General features: G+C 46.9%; 1 protein-coding gene across 4 annotated transcripts in view, besides 3 other annotated features; it reads left to right on the forward strand.

Moving 5' to 3' along the window:
- Positions 6,776–7,125: a silencer, noted in NCBI's record as "silent region_18860". NCBI's record gives its function as "represses an Ori minimal core promoter by ATAC-STARR-seq in GM12878 lymphoblastoid cells {active_cell/tissue: GM12878}" and the evidence as "EXISTENCE:reporter gene assay evidence [ECO:0000049][PMID:35858748]".
- UBE3C (ubiquitin protein ligase E3C) overlaps positions 7,284–18,139 on the forward strand; it is a 130,445-nt gene continuing 119,589 nt past the window's right edge. For 3 of the 4 annotated variants that reach the window (NM_014671.3, XM_005249564.5, XM_047421073.1), the window contains exon 1: positions 7,284–7,696. In NM_014671.3, the coding sequence (NP_055486.2) occupies positions 7,631–7,696 (66 nt within the window). In that variant the 5' untranslated portion in view covers positions 7,284–7,630. Of the gene's footprint in view, positions 7,697–8,147; positions 8,377–18,139 lie in introns of those variants that run through there. The other variant, XM_047421072.1, reaches the window with a different exon arrangement.
- Positions 7,406–7,795: a silencer, noted in NCBI's record as "silent region_18861". NCBI's record gives its function as "represses an Ori minimal core promoter by ATAC-STARR-seq in GM12878 lymphoblastoid cells {active_cell/tissue: GM12878}" and the evidence as "EXISTENCE:reporter gene assay evidence [ECO:0000049][PMID:35858748]".
- Positions 7,846–7,915: a silencer, noted in NCBI's record as "silent region_18862". NCBI's record gives its function as "represses an Ori minimal core promoter by ATAC-STARR-seq in GM12878 lymphoblastoid cells {active_cell/tissue: GM12878}" and the evidence as "EXISTENCE:reporter gene assay evidence [ECO:0000049][PMID:35858748]".

Raw genomic sequence — 18,139 nt, forward strand, 5'->3', positions numbered from 1 at the left:
CCTCAAGTTGACACAAAAATTAACCATCACAGCTGGATGTGATGGCTCATGCCTGTAATTCCAGCACTTTGAGAGGCTGAGGCAGGCAATCAGCCTGGGTAACATGGCAAAACCCCATTTCCACAAAAAATACAAAAATTAGCCTGGCATGGTGGCATGTGCCTGTAGTCCCAGCTAATCAGGAGGCTGAGGTGGGAGGATGGCTTGGGCCCAGGAGGCAGAGGGTGCAGTGAGATCAGGTCACACCACTGCACGGTCCAGACTAGGTGGCAGAGCCAGACCCTATCTCAGAAAAAAAAAGTAACCATCACAATATCCTGTTACATACATATGTATAACTTTTTTTTTTTTTGAGACGGAGTTTCGCTCTGTCCCCCAGGCTGGCGTGCAGTGGCGTGATCTCGGCTCACTGCAAGCTCCACCTCCCGGGTTCACGCCATTCTCTTGCCTCAGTCTCCCGAGTAGCTGGGACTACAGGCGCCCGCCACTACGCCCGGCTATTTTTTTGTATTTTTAGTAGAGACGGGGTTTCACTGTGTTAGCCAGGATGGTCTCGATCTCCTGACCTTGTGATCCACCCACCTTGGCCTCCCAAAGTGCTGGGATTATAGGCGTGAGCCACTGTGCCTGGCCCATACATATGTATAATTATATTTGGCATTTAATGTTTCTGTTATTATTGTTGTTTTAGGCTGCATTTTAAAATTCTTATTTTGAGCCCTTGTAGTCCCAGCTACTCAGGAGGCTGAGGTGGGAGGATTACTCGAGTCCAGGAGTTCAAGGCTACAGTGAGCTATGATCATACCACTACACTCCAGGCTGAGTGACAGAGTGAGATCTGGTCTCTAAACAACAACAACAACAAGAAGCTATTTTTAAAAATTCTTTATTTTGAGATAGATAGAAATTCACAGGAAGTTGTGAGACTAGTACAGAGATGGACCCTTCATCCAGTTTTCCACCTATGGTTATATCTTATGGAATGATAGCACAATATCCAAACCAGGGCCTTGACATTGGTACAACATGTGTTCATAGTTCTAGGTCATTCTAGAAAACAGTTTTATTGAGGTATAACTGATGCAAACATCTGTGATACCATCACCACCATCAAGGTCATAGACACACCTGAGACCTCCCAAGGTAGTGCTGTGCCATTTTATCACATGTGTGTTTTCATGTCATGGTCACAGTCAAGCTACAAAATTGCTCCATCACCACAATGGCCTCCCTTCGAAGCCACCCTCCTCCTCTTCCTCCCCGTCCTTCTCACGTGAATGGAGTCATACAGTACGTATGTGACCTTCTGAGACTGGCTTTTCCAGTCAGGAGGATGCCCTTGAGGGCTTTCTGTGGGCATCAGTAGTTTGCTGTTTGTAAAAATTGCTGAGTAGTGTCCATGGCATGCACCTGCTGAGGTTTGTTTAATATCATCCTTTGAAGGGCATTTTGGTGTTTCCAGATTTGGGCTATTCCAAATAAAGCTGCTGTGGACATCTGTGTAAAATGCTGTATAGACATCAGTTTTCATTAGTCGGAGGTAAATGCACAGGGATGCAATTGCTGGGTGCTGTGGTAAGTGTATGTTTAGTTTATAAGTTAAATTAATTACATTTTCTTTGAGGCAGGGTCTCATTCTCTTCCCAGGCTGGAGTGCAGGGGCACAGTCACATCTTACTGCAGCCTCAACCTCCTGGGCGCTCAAACAATCCTCCCACCTCAGCCCCCTGAGTAGCTGGGACTACAGGCACCAGCCACCATGCCCAGCTAAAAGTTTTTTTTATTAAAGTTACTGCCAAACTATTTTCCAGACTGGTTGCACCATTTTACTTTCCCACAGTGACATATGAGAGGTCCAGTTTCCTCACCTCCTTGCTAGCATTTGATGTTGTCAGTATTTATTTTAGCTGCTCTGATAGGTGTGTAGTGGCTGTAGGATTTTGACCTACTCTTTCCACTGCCTTTCCGTAATCATCTGTTTAATCCAACACATATTTGAGGGCCTGCAGTTGGTACAAAAGTGAGGTAGACAGCTCCTCACCCTTTAGGAGTTTGCTGTCTACAAGAGGAAGTAGGCCAAGTAAACAGTGCTGTTCACTGGAGTCGGAGTGTACAGGCATTAGGTTCTAGGTCAGCACCTATGGTTGGGAATTCTTTTTTTTTTTTTTGAGACAGGGTCTGTCTCTGTCCCCCAGGCTGGTGTGGAGTGGTGCAATCTCTGCTTACTGCAATCTCTGCCTCCCAGGCTCAAGGGATGTTCCCACCTTAGCCTCCGAGTAGCTGGGACTATAGCCACCATGCCTGGCTAATTTTTGTATTTATTTTTTAAGAATGGGGTCTTGCTATGTGGCCCAGGCTGGTCTTGAATTCCTGAGCGGAAGCAATCCACCCACCTTGGCCTCCCAAAGTGCTGGGATTACAGGTGTGAGCCACCATGCCCAGCCTGAAAATCTTTTATAGTGAAAATTACTCTTGAAAATTATTAATCTTTGTAGAGTGATAATGAGATCATAATCTTGTACAAAAATTCCACTTTTTAAGGGTTACTGACAAAATGACGTCTGGAATTTGCTTCAAAGGGATGGAGGGGAGTCTAATCACATAAGATTGGCCCTGGGGTGGGCACTCACTGACGCTGGGCGATAGCTGAAGGAGACTGATTGATTATATGAGTCTCCCTGGCTTGTTGAGTTTGAAATTTTCTATAAAAAGGTACTTTTAAAATCCTTGAAAATCCTTCATTAGGAATCATGTTAAAGATGCTGAAATGATCCTGATAAGACAGATTTTCCTGTGGCATCACTGGTTCTCCAGTGGACACCAGGGGAAGAAGTGGCTCATGGAGCAGGGCCACCCAGCAGACGCACCGACCTCAGCACAGAGGAGCACCCACCCTGGGCTGACTGTGGAAACAGACCAGATGCCAGGCAGCGGTGTTGAGATGGGCAGAGGTGCAGTCAGGAGCACTTCTTCCCTACCCATGTGGGCCGGTCAGAACATTTGAAAGAGGCCCAGCAGATGTGGGACAGCACCCCCCAGTTACCAGCAACACTGAGGTTGGTGTGAGATTCACATGGGCATTCTTGCTCCTCCTCCTAGTCCAGACATTGGAAGGGTTCATTCGAAGCAGAATCTCAGACTTCAGGCTGGGCGCGGTGGCTCACGCCTGTAATCCCAGCACTTTGGGAGGCCAAGGCGGGCGGATCATCTGAGGTCAGGAGTCCAAGATCAGCCTGATCAACGTGGTGAAACCCCATCTCTACTAAAAACACAAAAATTAGCCGGGCATGGTAGCGCACCTATAATCCCAGCTACTCGGGATGCTGAGACAGGAGAATCGCTTGAACCCAGGAGGTGGAGAGGTGGAAGCTGCAGTGAGCCAAGATCACGCCATTGCACTCCAACCCGGGCAACAAGAGCAAGACTCTGTCTCAAAAAAAAAAAAAAAAAAAAAAGAATCTGAGACTTCAGAGCAGACTTACAGAGGTCACAAATATTGATATTACCAATTTTAAATCTTTGCTAACCTGACAGGTAAAAACAAAAGGTTATATCTTTTTTAATTGACAAAATTTGTAAGCTTTCAAAATGGTAAAATTGGGACATTTTATGATTAAAAATACATTCTATACTGTTGCAGTTCAAATATATGTATGAACTATGATAGTTCATACATATATACGAACTGTGACCTTGTTCACATATATATACACACACACATTTGTGTCTGGGTGTGGGTGCCTTAGTCTATTTGGGTTGCTATAACAAAATGCCTTGGCCTGGGTAATTTTTGGACAACAGAAATATATCTCTCACAGCTCTGGAATCTGGGAAGTCCAAGATCAAGGCACCCCACATTCTGCGTCTGAGGACTCTGCTTCATAGATGGTGCCTTCTTGCTGTGTCTCCCCATGGCAGGAGGGACAAACAGGCTGCCTTGGGCACTGATTTCCTTCATGGGGGTGGAGCCTCATGCTATAAGACTTCCTAATGGCCCCTCCTCTTAATACGATCACATTGGGGACTAAGTTTCAAACTATGATTTTGGGGAGACACCAACATTCAGACAACAGTAGAGTGTTTGTATATCTTTCTAACCATCTATCTGTCTATATTTAATTTATATGGCAGATTTTTTCAAACTGTGAGCTGAGACCCATTAGTGGATTGTGAAACGTATTTAGTGCTTTGCGTCTAGCATTAAAAAGAAGACGACGACAGTGGGTGCAGTGGCTCATGCCTGTAATCCCAGCACTTTGGGAGGCCGAGGCAGGAGGATCTCTTGAGCCCAGGAATCTGAGACCAGCCTGGGCAACATAATGAGACCCACCTCTACAAGAAGTGGGGGGGGGGGGAAAGCTGGGGGGTTGGGGGGAAAGCCAGGCTACTGGCACACACCTGGTCCAGCCATTTGGGACGCTGAACTGGGAGAATTGCCTGAGCACAGGAGGTTGAGGCTGCAGTTAGCTGTGATCGTACCACAGCACTCCAGCCTGGGCAATACAGTGAGACCCTGTCTCAAAAAAATAATAATAAAATAAAATAAAAAGACAGAATTTTTTTTAAAAAAAACAGTGCATTCCACATAGTAATGACAAATATTAGTTTTAAAATTTGGCTTTTCCCAATTAAAAAACGAGCAAAGGGCCTGAATTTTTCCAAATAGACATAAAAACGGCCAAGAGGTAATGAAAAGGTGCTCATCGTCAATAACCGTCAAGGAAATGCAAAACAAAACCACAATGAAATATCACCTCACAGTATTAGCATGGCTATTATCCAAAAGACAAGTGTTGGTGAGGGTGTGGGGAAATAGAAGCCTTTGCCCATCGTTGGAGGTACAGCCATTATGGCAAACAGTATGGAGTTTCCTCAAAAAAAACAAAACTGGAACTACCACATGACTCAGCGATCCCTCTGCTGGTTATATATCTACAGGAAATGAAATTGTTTCTTCTGGAGCTCCTCTCAGTTCATTGCAACATTATTCATAACAGCAAGATACAGAAGGAATTCCTGTCATTGGCTACATGTGTGAACCTGGAGGACATGATGCCAAGTTAAATAAGCGAGACAGAGAGAAAGATACTGATGAGCTCACTTATACGTGGAATCCAACAGTCAAATCCTATCTAGAAACAGAGAGTAGAGTGGTGCTTCCTGGGGCTGGGAAAAATGGGGAGAGATATGTAAAAGGAAACACACTCGCAGTTATGTAGCATAAATATGCCCACAGATCTAATGTTCACAGGAGGACTGTTTATTATTATTGTTATTAATTTTTATTTTTATTTATTTATTTTGAGACGGAGTCTCCCTCTGTTCCCCAGGCTGGAGTGCAGTGGCGCGAGTGGCGCGATCTCGGCTCACTGCAAGCTCCGCCTCCCGGGTTCACGCCATTCTCCTGCCTCAGCCTCCCAAGTAGCTGGGACTACAGGCGCCTGCCACTATGCCTGGCTAATTTTTTTGGTATTTTTAGTAGAGACGGGGTTTCACTGTGTTAGCCAGGATGGTCTCGATCTCCTGACCTCGTGATCTGCCCGCCTCGGCCTCCCAAAGTGCTGGGATTACAGGCGTGAGCCACCGCGCCCGGCCTGTTTATTTTTATTTTTTGAGACAGAGTCTCACTCTGTCACCCAGGCTGGAGTACAGTGGCACGATCTCAGCTCATTGCAACCTCCGCCTCGCAGACACAAGCGAGTCTCTTGTCTCAGCCTCCCAAGCAGCTAGAAGTTTAAGAACTTTAAGTGGGGGACCACCTATACATAAACATGCCACCATGCTCAGCTAATTTTTGTACTTTTAGTAGAGACGGGGTTTCCCCATGTTGGCGAGGCTGGTCTCAAACTCCTGACCTGAGGTGATCCACCCACCTTAGCCTCCCAAAGTGCTGGGATTACAGGCGGCGCCAGGACTGTATTTCTTTTTTTTTTTTTTTTTTTGAGACGGAGTCTCTGTGTCGCCCAGGCCGGAGTGCAATAACACGATCTCAGCTCACTGCAACCTCTGCCTCCTGGGTTCAAGCAATTCTCCTGCCTTAGCCTCCAGAGTAGCTTGGACTACAGGCGTGCACCACCACACCGGCCTAAGTTTTGTATTTTATTAGAGATGGGGTTTCACCATGTTGGCCAGGCTGGTCTCGAACTTTTCACTTCAGGTGATCCGCCCGCCTTGGCCTCCCAGAGTGCTGGGATTACCGGCGTGAGCGACCGTGCTCGGCCGCAGGACGACTGTAGATGATATCGTATTGTGTGTTGAAATTTTGCTAAGAGAGTAGATTTTATGTACTCTTACCACACACACACAAAGAGGGTAGTCATTTCACAATGTCTCTATGAAATCATCATGTTGCACACCTTGTATACAACCAAAAATCAATTTTTAGAAATTGGTTTCAATCGTGTATGATATATATGTATATGCACATGTATATGAGATATTATGTATACGTATGTGTGGATATAAGACACATGTTTATGTATAGGTGGTCCCCAACTTAAAATGGCTCAACTTACAATTTTTTGACTTTGTGATGGGTTTATTGTAGCATTAAATACATTTTCAACTTACAATATTTTCATCTTACGATGGGTTTATCAGGACAAAGCCCCATGGTAAGTCCAGGAGCAAATATTTTTGCATACACAGGTATGTGTACATGATACATATTTATATGTATTGATGCTGTATCTATAGATGCATATGTGTGCTATGTATGAGGCAAATCTGCGCATGTCTGTGTACATGGTAAATATTTACGTCCGTCTGTGCGTGTCATAGACATAGAACAGGTGGGATGTAAACAGACGGGCTGGGCCTAGCTGCTCCTTTCCCGCCTCACTCGAGTCTGGCACCAGATTGGCCGCTCCCAGCCCGCTCCGGGTGCCGGCCCCTGCACCCCACCCTGCACCCCGCACCCTGCCCTGCACCCCATCCCGGCCCGTGCCTCGCACTCCACCTTTCCCGCACCCTGCCCCGCACCCAACACCTCCCGCGCCCCTCGCCGCGCTCCCCCAGCACGCACCAGGCCCCGCCCACTCCGCCGCGTGCCCAGCCCGCGTCACCGCCGTCCTCCCCAGGCTCCAGCGCGCCTTGCGGGGCCGCGCACGCTAGCGGAACCGCCGGGAAGAGCGCCGTGCCGTCAATGGCGGAGGCGCGCACGTCTGCAGGGCCGCGCACGTCTGCAGGGCCGCGCACGTCTGCAGGGCCGCGCACGTCTGCAGGGCCGCGCACGTCTGCAGGGCCGCGCACGTCTGCAGGGCCGCGCACGTCTGCAGGGCCGCGCACGCACTGACGGCTGACCGCCATCTTCCCTCCCGAGGCGGCAGTTCCAGGTGCAAGCGCCGGGTTTGCTGCCCGCTGGGCGCCCCTGCAGCGGCCCGAGCTGTGGCCGGCGTGGATGAGGGGCAGGCGAGGCAGGGCCGCCCCTCCAGTATTGCCGCCCCTCCCGCCCCAGGGCAGGGCTGGGAGGGTACAGCCCGGGGGCGGGCTCGGGTCGCCTCCCGGCCGCCGCGTCCTCGCTGCCCCGGGCCGGGCGGGCGGGCGCCGAGAGCCTCCCAGCCCGCCCCGTGCCCCGCCCGCCCGGCTGCTTCCGCGGCGGCGCTGCCCGCACATGGGCTAGGCTGCCAGGATGTTCAGCTTCGAAGGCGACTTCAAGACGCGGCCCAAGGTGTCCCTTGGCGGCGCGAGCAGGAAGGTGAGGGCCGGGCTGGCGGGGCGCCCTCGGCTCGGGGCCTGCGCGGCCGGGGCTCGGGGCTGGGACTCGGGGCTGGACTCGGGGCTGGACTCGGGGCCGAGACTTGGGGCTGGATTCGGGGCCTCCCTGGCGGGGACTCGGGGCTTCCTCGCCGGATCTCGGGGCCGCTCCGGCCGGGACTCGGGGTTGGACTCGGAGCCGAGACTTGGGGCCAGGACTCTGGCTGGGGCTTAGGACTGGACTCGGGGCCTCCCTGGCTGGAACTCGAGGCCGCGCCCGTGGGGGCCTTGCCTGTCCACTGCGCTTCGGGACCCGGGCGCGCTGGCCGTGGCTCCCTTCCATGCAGGAGGCCGGTGAACCCTGGCACGCTTTGTGCCACCCAAGGTGAACTTACCCTTTCTGGGTGTTTCCTTTCAGAAATGCGCTTTCCATGCTCGCTCCCGCATGGCATCAGGGAGTGGCTGCTTTTCGAATGCCACCTGAAGGGCGTTTTCGGTTGTAGAAGGTGAACGGCACGCATTTGCTGATGTCGATAATCTCTAAAGTAGAGGCAGAACGTCTCATGAATAGCCACGTGTTTGAATCCAAGACGAGGGCAATTATTTGCCACCAGCCTCCTGGAAACTGTGGAGAGACTCCGGACTTACATCTGTTGTGATCGACATTAAGTTGTTCGCATGGTAATTGTTTAGGATAAGGGTAGGCAAACCATGACGCCTCTGTTCTAGTCTAGAATTTCTAGCTGTCTGTCCCTGAAGACGGGCATCAGTTGGTTCACTGGAACCGCTAAGTCGTTGAACACTGTGTGGTCTTGTTCCCGCCCCTCCCTTCCCACCCCTTCCCATCATTTCTGAAATGTTCTTTAAAATGCTTCACCTAGTTTTTCTTGTCTATCAGTATATTCTGTATATCACAACCACCAGGTAGGCACATAACGCAGAGTGGGTGCTGGCAGGCCAAGGAGGAACTGCTGTTATTAAGATTGTGCTGTGGGGCTGTGTTTGGTGGTTTCTGAGGTTAGAAGGGAACCTGGGTAAAGAGTTGGGAGAGAAGTGTGCTGATAATTTTTCAGCTTTGAGGTTCGTGTGATGGTGATTGCTTGGAAGTCACTTGTGCTCCAGAACTAAGTACTGTGCAGTTAAGGGTGGTCGTGGTAGCACTTAGGGTCTTCCACGTTAATGAAAATGTTTTATGAGATCAAAGGATTTCTACAGTTAGGAGAGACTTCAGAGAATCTCAGGGCCAAATCGCCTTGCTTACAAGTTCGGAAGGTGAGCTGCAGAACATTTGAAGGAGTGCCCATTCACACAGCAAGCTAGTGGCAGACCATCTGAGACTCCATGCCATTTACACAGCGCCGCGCGGCCTCTGTTGCAGGCAGGAACACCCCACGGGCCACGGATGTTGGTCCCTTTTCACCAAGGAGTGCATCTCTGCTCTGAGGGAGTGAGATTTCTTAACTGTTGATCAGAATCTCAAGGGAAGATAGCACGAGCTGTGTAAAAGAATCACCCCTTTAAAAACAAAACTCTTTTTATTGAGGTATAACTTAAGATACAGTCAGGTTCACAAACACTAAAGAGATCCTTGTGCAAGTGAAATTGAGGAGGAAGGGCGAGAGGGAAGCTGGGTAGGGAAGGAAAAGGCGTCTCAGCTGGAGGCTAGCGTTAACCCCATCTCACCAGGAGCATGCTACAATTGGCCCTAATTGCGGCAGAGGGGTTGGTGGCTGCAGGCTGCTGCCCCTCCGGGATGAGGGTGGGAGTGTGGCACTGCTAACCCTGAGCCGAGGGCCATTCTTCTGGGAGAGAGTGGCAGTAAAGAGCCCTTAGTAGGAACTGGCAGCAGCTGGGGCATGGGTGCCCTGGCCTGGTTAAGGAATCTGGGTGGGGAGCCAGCTGTATGTACAGCTTGAAGGATTTTTGCATATGGACACTCTCCTGTAGATGGAACACCACTCACATCAAAGGAAGACCATCCCCAGCATTCCAGAGGCTCCCCTGCACTCTCACCCATTCATTACAGTCATATGTGACTTAAAGAGGGGGACGCTGTCACTAGTCCAGTTGGTTGTTGTGGGACCGTCCTAGAGTGCACTTAACAGAAACCTATAGCCAGTGTTGCCCACTGCACACCTAGCTGCTTGGTACAGCCCGTTGCCCCTATGCTACACACCTGGACAGCGTGTTTCTGTGCTGAATACTGTAGGCAGCTCTTCATGCAATGGTGAGTGTCTGTGCATCCAAACGTAGATACAGTAAAAATACAAATTATAATCTTATGGGACCACGGTGTATATGTGGTCTGTTGTCGACAGACTGAGAGGTCATTATGCCATGTATGTCTGTAGCCCCACAAAGGTGACTGTCCTTCTGACCTCCATTACTGTAGATGAGCGTTACCTGTTGAACTTCAGGGGCATGGAGCCACTCACCACTTGTCGTTTGTGCCCGGCTGCTTTGGCTTGGCTTCTGTCTGAGAGGTGGACTCCATCCGCCTCGGTGCACGGCATTGCCCTTTGTGTGAACGCACCGTGGCTGATTCTGTTTTCTTACAGACCTTTGCTGTGTGTGCCTTTTGGTGCACATAATACTCTTGTGCTGGGTCCTAGATGATACGCATGTTCAGCTGTTGTGCACACCGCTGCCACAGTTTCCCCGTGTCGCACGCCCACAGCATCTGAAGGTATCCAGGTTTCCACATCCTTGCCAACACTTGATATTGCAAGTCCTTTAATTTTAGTGAGGATGTAGTTTCTTTGTGGTTTTAATTTTGTTTCCTGACAACTAATTATGTTGAGCACCTACATATGCTTGTTTTCCTGAATTCTCTTTGACTGCCGCATAAGTCCCTTCCCTTGTTGGAAAAATGAAGTTATAGTGACCCTTTTCTCATGTCTTAAATTATTATTTGAAATCTTCCCTTTCTGGAGCTTAGTGGAAAATGGAGTGGTTACCACCTTTGAATAAGCTTTTTCTTTTTTCAAATTAAATACTTTTAGTATTTATTATTTGTATAGATCTGTGTACGACAAGTCTGACTTGAAGAAGTTGATAATCTTGTTGGGCAGATAAGACTTAAGCAATTAAAAATTAAATAACAATAGAGTAATTGCTACATTCTAAATTTCCCTTGGTCCTGATTCAGAAAAAGTAGAATTGTTTGGAGCTTAGTCCTGAAGGATGGGTGTAATTAGGATGGGTGGAAGACGAGAAGGCATTCCAGGTTCGTGGAGCGGGGTGTGTGGAGTACATGTAGATTGGATTACATTGATTCAAAGTCACTTTGGGGAGCTAAACATTGATTACACATGGACATAAAGATGGGATGATAGACACCAGGGACTACTAGAGGGGGAAAGAGAGGGACGGGGACAAGGGCTGGGAAGCTACCTGTTGGTAACTGTGCTCACTCCCCGGGTAATGGGATCATTCACACCCCAAACCTCCGCGTCCTGCAGTATATTCTTGTAACAAACGTGCATAGGTACCCCCTAACTCTAAAATAAAAGTTGAATTTTTTTTTTTTTTTTGAGATGGAGTTTCGCTCACGCTGGAGCGCAGTGTTGCCCAGGCTGGAGTGCAATGGTGCGATCTCAGCTCACCACAAACCTCCACCTCCCGGGTTCAAGCGATTCTCCTGCCTCAGCTTCCCGGGTAGCTGGGATTACAGGCCTGCACCACCACGTCTGGCTAATTTTGTATTTTTAGTAGAGATGGGGTTTCTCCATGTCGGTCGGGCGGGTCTCGAACTCCCGACCTCAGGTGATCCGCCTGCCTCAGCCTCCCAAAGTGCTGGGATTACAGGTATGAGCCACTGCGCTCAGCCTGAAATTTTTTTTTAAGTCACACTGATTTCTATCTTTAAATATTTCTGACATCGGGATACACACTGATAGCATGATGCAGTTTAATTGGGGGTATGTTTTTCTTGGTAGTGTATAGAAGAATATCACGGGGTCATCTGATTTCAAGTACAGAAATGGACTAAAACTAGCTTAGTAGGCAAAACAAAAAGAAACAAAAACAAGTTTATGAAAGGATAGGCGTGTCTGACAGAATAGAAAGGTCAGAAACACCCAGATAGCAGGTATCACCACCACAGGAGTTGCTTGTCTTTCTCCAGGAGCTGGGTGCACTCCCTTCTTCCTGTCTCCTTCATTCCTGGCTCTGCAGACTGGCTTTCTCCATTTCTCACACATGGTTTCCTAGCTTAAGCGTCAAGAAAGTTTGATCATAATTACCAGTTTTCAGGAGAGGAAAGTCTGATTGGCCTGGGTCATGTTTCCACCTGATAACCTCAGTCTGAGGAGGGCTTGGAGGCTTGGTTCAGATGGAACAGTCTAGGTGCACCTGAGGGCTGGGGTAGATTCTTCAAGAAGCGGGGAGTGGTCGTTGACTGAATGCCTGAGTTCCTGTGGGACAGGCACAGGAAGGAGTCTAGGCTAGAGATGCAGATTTGGGGGTTATCAACAGAATGGTGGCTTCGAACACAGGTCCTTAAGAGGACTTGGAGTTTGGGACAGGGTGGGACTCGTGAGGTACTGCAACATTTAATATGTGTGGGAGTTGGGGATACTTACAAAAGAGTCACACCTCCGGGAGTGGAGGAGAGTGGTGTCCAGGGAGTGAATCTCAGGGAGGGAGGAGTGACAGGCAATGCCAAGTGCTGCACAGACACAGTGAGTCCACTGACTGCGGAGCTGGGAAGAATTGGGTGATTTGAGCATATTCTGTAGGGTAGTCAGAGTTGGAAGTCAAGAGCATAGCACATTGGAGAGTGAATGGGAAGTCACAAACAGGGCCGAACACAGGCCGGATGCTGTGGCGCACGCCTACAATCTGCCACACCGAAGACTGAGGCGGGAGGATCGCTGGATCCCGGGAGTTCAAGGCTGCAGTGAGCTGTGATCATGCCATAGCACTCCAGCCTAGGCGACACAGCATGACCCCATCTCTTAAAAAATAAGGCAGGGGCAAGGCAACAGTGTAGACCTTTTTTGAAAAGCACCGGAAGATTGGATGATAGAGGGAAATTCGGTGTCTCGGAAATAGTTTTGTCTGTTTTGGGAGACGGGGGAAACTTAAGTTTATAGACTGGGAAGGACGGGGGTTAAAAATGTGGGGAAGACAGGAGTGGCATAACTTTCAGAGTCTTCGAGAATACCCGAGAGGGGAGAACTGAGTGGGAGCAGGCAATGGGAAATATTTTGAGACTTAAAGAAGCTAGGGATGAATATGGATATAGAAAAGTTTGTAGACCGGAGGAACTGAAATTTTTTAAGTTTTTGTAGATCTGACAATAGTGGGAGTAGAATTAAGATCACTTTAATGTTTGTCCAGTGCTTTTTTTAAAAAAAAATAGACTTTATTTTTTAGAGCAGTTTCAGGTTTACAATCAAGCAGAGGGTAGGGTTCCCATATGCCTAGTCTCCCTCACCTCACTTTTCTCTATTACTAGCATCTGGCATTAATGTGGATCATCAGTTACAATTGATAAACCAATGTCGATGTGTTATTATTAATTGAAGTCCATAGTGTACATTCAGGTTCACACTGTGTGTTGTGCATTGTGTAGGTTTTGACGAATATATGATGACATGTATCTACCCTTACAGCGTTATACAGAAGAGTGTCATTGCCCTAGAAATCCTCATTGCTGGCCAGGTGTGGTGGCTAATGCCTGTAATCCCAGCACTTTAGGAGGCCGAGGTAGGCAGTCAGGAGTTTGAGACCAGCCTGGCCAACGTGGTGAAACCCCGTCACTACTAAAAATACAAAAAATTAGCTGGGCGTGGGAGGCTGAGGCAGGAGAATTACTTGAGCCCTGGAGGTGGAGGTTGCAGTGAGCCTGGATTGTGCCAGCGCATTCCAGCCTGGGTGACAGAGCATGACTCTGTCTCCAAAAAAAAGAAAAAAGGAGGAGGCCCGGCACTTTGGAAGGCCAAGGAGGGTGTATCACCTGGAGTCAAGAGTTCGAGACCAGCCTGGTCAACATGGTGATACTCTATCTCTACTAAAAATACAAAAATTAGCCAGGCGTGGTGACAGGTGCCTGTAATTGCAGCTACTCAGGAGGCTGAGGCAGGAGAATTGCTTGAACCCGAGAGGCAGAGATTGCAGTTAGCTGAGATCACGCCATTGCACTCCAGCCTAGGTGACGAGAGTGATACTCTTTTAAAAAAGAAAAAAGGAAGAAATCCTCATTGCATATTCATCCATCCCTCCCATCCCTGTAACACCTGGCAACCACTGATCTTTTTACTGTTTCTACTCTAGCCTTTTCCAGAATGTCATATAGTTGGAATCATATACTATGTAATCTTTTCAGATTGGTTTCTTTCACTTAGTACTATGCATTTAAGGCTCTTTTCATGGCTTGACAGTTCATTTCTTTTTACTTTATTTTTTATCAATTAATAAGCTTTTTTTTTAGAGTGGTTTACGGTTTACAGAATAATTGATGGGAAACTATAATAGAGTCCTCAAAACCTCCTCTCCGCTGCACGCTGTTTCCTTTGTTATTTACATCTTGTATCTGTGTGGTACATTTGTGACATTGGAGAACTATTGAATTTTAATGAAGTCCAGCTCACCAGTGTTTTTTTCATGGATCTTGCTTCTCGCGTTGTGTCTAAAAAGTCATTACCAAAGCCAAGGTAACCTAGATTTTCTCGTATTTTCTAGTAGTTTTATAATTTTGTATTTTACATTTAGGTCTCTGATCCATTTTGAGTTAATTTATGTGAAGGATATAAAATCTGTGTCTAGATTTTTAATTTTTGAAGTTTTTTTGTTTGTGGATGTCCAGTTAGCACCATTTCTGAAAAGACATTCCCCAACTCCATTGAATGCCTGCCTTTGCTCCTTTGTCAAAGATCAGTTGGCTATATTTTTATGGATCTATTTCTTTTTTTTTTTTGAGACGAAGTCTCGCTCTGTCTCCCAGGCTGGAGTGCAGTGGCGCAATCTCGGCTCACTGCAACCTCTGTCAAGCAGTTCTCCGGCCTCAGCCTACCGAGTAGCTAGGATTACAGGTGTGCACCACCACACCTGGCTACTCTAGTACAGACGGGGGTTTCACCATGTTGGTCAGGCTGGTCTCGAACTCCTGACCTCGTGATCTGCCCGCCTGGGCGTCCCAAAGTGCTGGGATTACAGGCATGAGCCCCTGCGTCCGGCCTTTACGATCTGTTTCTAAGCTCTGTTATGGCTTTATTCTCTCCTCCATTGATCTCTCTCCCTTTTGTCAATACCATACCATCTTGATTACTGTAACAGATCTGTAGTAAACTGTACTACTTAGTATATATATTAAACTAAACTTTTTTTTAATTTGAGAGGGAGCCTCCTGTTGCCCAGGCTGGAGTGCAGTGTTGTGACCTCGGCTCACTGCAAACTCTGCCTTCTGGGTTCAAGTGGTTCTTCTGCCTCAGCATCCTGAGTAGCTGGGTGGGCATGTGCCACCACACCTGGTTAATTTTTGTATTTTTAGTAGAAACTGGATTTCACCATGTTGGCCAGGCTGGTCTTGAACTCCTGACCTGAAGTGATCCGCCTGCCTCAGCCTCCCAAAGTGCTGGGGTTACGGGAGTGAGACACCGCGCCCAACCATAGTAAGCATTGAAGTCTGGTAGTGTGAGTCCTTCGACTTCCTTCTTCTTTAGTATTGTGTTGGCTATTGTGGATCTTTTGCCTCTCCATAAGAGTCAGTTTGTTGATATTCACAAAAAAAACCTGTGGAATTTTGATTGGGATTGTGCTGAATTGGTAGATCAAGTTGGGAAAAACTAAAATCTTGACAGTGTTGAGCCTTCCTATCCATGAATATGGAATATCTCTTAATTTGTTTAGTTCTTTTATTTCTTTCATTGGTTATATAATTTTCCTTATATATACCTTATACCTATTTTGTTAGATTTATACCTAAGCGTTTATTTTTAAGGGGTGCTAATGTGAATGGTATTGTGTTTCAGTTTCAAATTCCAGTTCATTGCTTATTTGTAGAGAAGCAATTGACTTTCATGTACTAACCTTATGTCCTGAAATCTTGCTATAATCACTTCTTAGTTCCAGGAGTGGTTTTTTGGTTGATACTTGGAATTTCCTGCACAGATAATCATTTCATTTGCAACCAAAGACAGTTTTATTTCTTCCTTCCTGATCTGTATGCCTTTTTTTTCTTTTTTCTTTTCTAAGACCATCAGAAAGCAATGTGTTTTATTGTCTTACTGCATTAGGTAGGATTATAGTTGAAAAGGAGTGGTGAGAACTTGCCTTGTTCTTAATCTTAGTGGGAAAGCTTTGAGTTTCTCATCATGAAGTATGATGTTTGGTGGGTTTTTTGGTAGATATTCTTTATCAAATTGGGGAAATTCCCCTCTATTCCTAGTTTGCAGAATTTTATCATGAATGAAGGTTGGGTTTTGTCAGATGCTTTTTCTGTATCTGTTAATGTTATGTGATTTTCCTTCTGCAGCTTGTGGATATGATGGATCACATTAAGTCATTTTAGAATATTGAGCCCGTCTTGCGTATCTGGAATAAATCCCACTTGACTGTGATGCATAATTCTTTGTATACGATGTTAGATTGAGCTTGTTGATATTTTGTTCAGGATTTTTGCATCTCTTTTGATGAGGGACATCAATTTAGGGTGTTTTTGTGATGTCTTTGTCTGGTTTGGTATTAGGGTGATACTGGCCTTATGGAATGAGGATACTCTAGGGCCTACCAAAACCAATTACTATAGTTTTTTTGTTTTATTTTGTTTTTTTGAGACAGAGTCTCCCTCTGTCGCCTAGGCTGGAGTGCCTGGAGTACAGTGGTGCGATCTCACTGCCACCTCCATCTCCCGAATTCAAGTGATTCTCCTGTCTCAGCCTCCCAAGTAGCTGGGCTTACAGGCGCCCACCACCAGGCCTGGCTAATTTTTTTGTATTTTTAGTAGAGATGGGGTTTCGCCATGTTGTCCATACTGGCCTTGAACTCCTGGCCTCAAGTGATCTGCCCACCTCAGCTTCCCAATGTGCTGGGATTACAGGTGTGAGCCACCATGCTTGGCCTCAATTACTCTAGTTTTAATTCCTCCCCTATGATAGGTCTAGACTGTTAAGATGGTAAGAACTTGATTGCTTAGTTTTGTAAAACTGCCCTCTATTATATAATTGAAGGGATTACCTAGTTTTGTAAAACTGCCCTCTATTATATAATTGAAGGGATTACCTAGAATATTTTAACTTAAAATGTTTTGTGCTATTTTGTTTTAAAAAGCAGAGGTGTAATGGATGTGATAGTATAATGCTCCATATACATTGTAGTGGAACATAAAAACTTTTTCTTACAGATCTGGCATCAAATAAAGTCAAAATATTTTCTAAGATCAAATTAGTTCTTTTTTTTTTTTTTTTTTCCTTTAAGAGACAGGGCCTCACTGTGTCGCCCAGGCTGGAGTGCAGTAGCTATTCACAGGCATGATCATAGTGCACAGCAGCCTCAAACTCCTGATCTCCAGCGATTCTCCTGCCTCAGCCTCCTGAGGAGCTGGAACTCCAGGCTTGCCACTACCCAACCCCAGCCTGGCTCTGAAAATGTTAATTGACTGTCAGGACTGGTATTATTTAGCAACACTGCATTTGTTCCTTCGAATACAGTTATGCTGTATCCTTTACATGTAGGAGCAAAAGACTGTAGTTCCCTGCTATAGATAAGGTTAAGAATTCTTTTTTTGTTTTTTGAGATAGAGTTTTGCTCTTGTCGCCCAGGCTGGAGTGCAATGGCTCAATCTCGGCTCACTGCAACCTCCGCCTGCCAGGTTCAAGCAATTCTCCTGCCTCTGCCTCCGGAGTAGCTGGGATTACAGGTGCCTGCCACCACACCCAGCTAATTTTTCTATTTTTAGTAGAGATGGGTTTCACCATCTTGGTCAGGCTGGTCTCGAATTCCTGACCTCAGGTGATCCACCCACCTCAGCCTCCCAAAGTGCTGGGATTACAGGCGTGAGCCACTATGCCTGGCCAGGAATTCAACCGATTTTTAAAAATAGAAACCAAGCGGAATGGAAGGAGTGAGACTTGAGACTAATTGTCTCATTGTCTCATTTTCTTTGGACATTAAATCTGGGCCTACAGGGAGGTGAGTAAAGCACCATACAGTATTTAAGGAGGCACTTACTCTCAGGTTCATGCACAGGCGGACCCTGCACTGGCACATCCCTGAGAGTGAGTGCCTCCTTAAATTTGTGCCTTAAGCATCTGGCTTGCCTCATGATATCCCCTACTTGGCTTTAACCACTTGAATGTGTGCTGATTTTCTTGAGTTACAGTGTGAATTGCCAGCTAGGGTCCTTAAAAGGTTGAAAAAATAGATGGTCTCATAAGACCATAGAATAGCCTCAAAAGAAGTTCTTGCAAAAGCTGTAAGGAGCTTCACTCTGTGACTTTTC

The sequence above is a fragment of the Homo sapiens genome, chromosome 7 (assembly GCF_000001405.40).
Source record: "Homo sapiens chromosome 7, GRCh38.p14 Primary Assembly".
NCBI classification, from domain to species: Eukaryota; Metazoa; Chordata; class Mammalia; order Primates; family Hominidae; genus Homo; species Homo sapiens.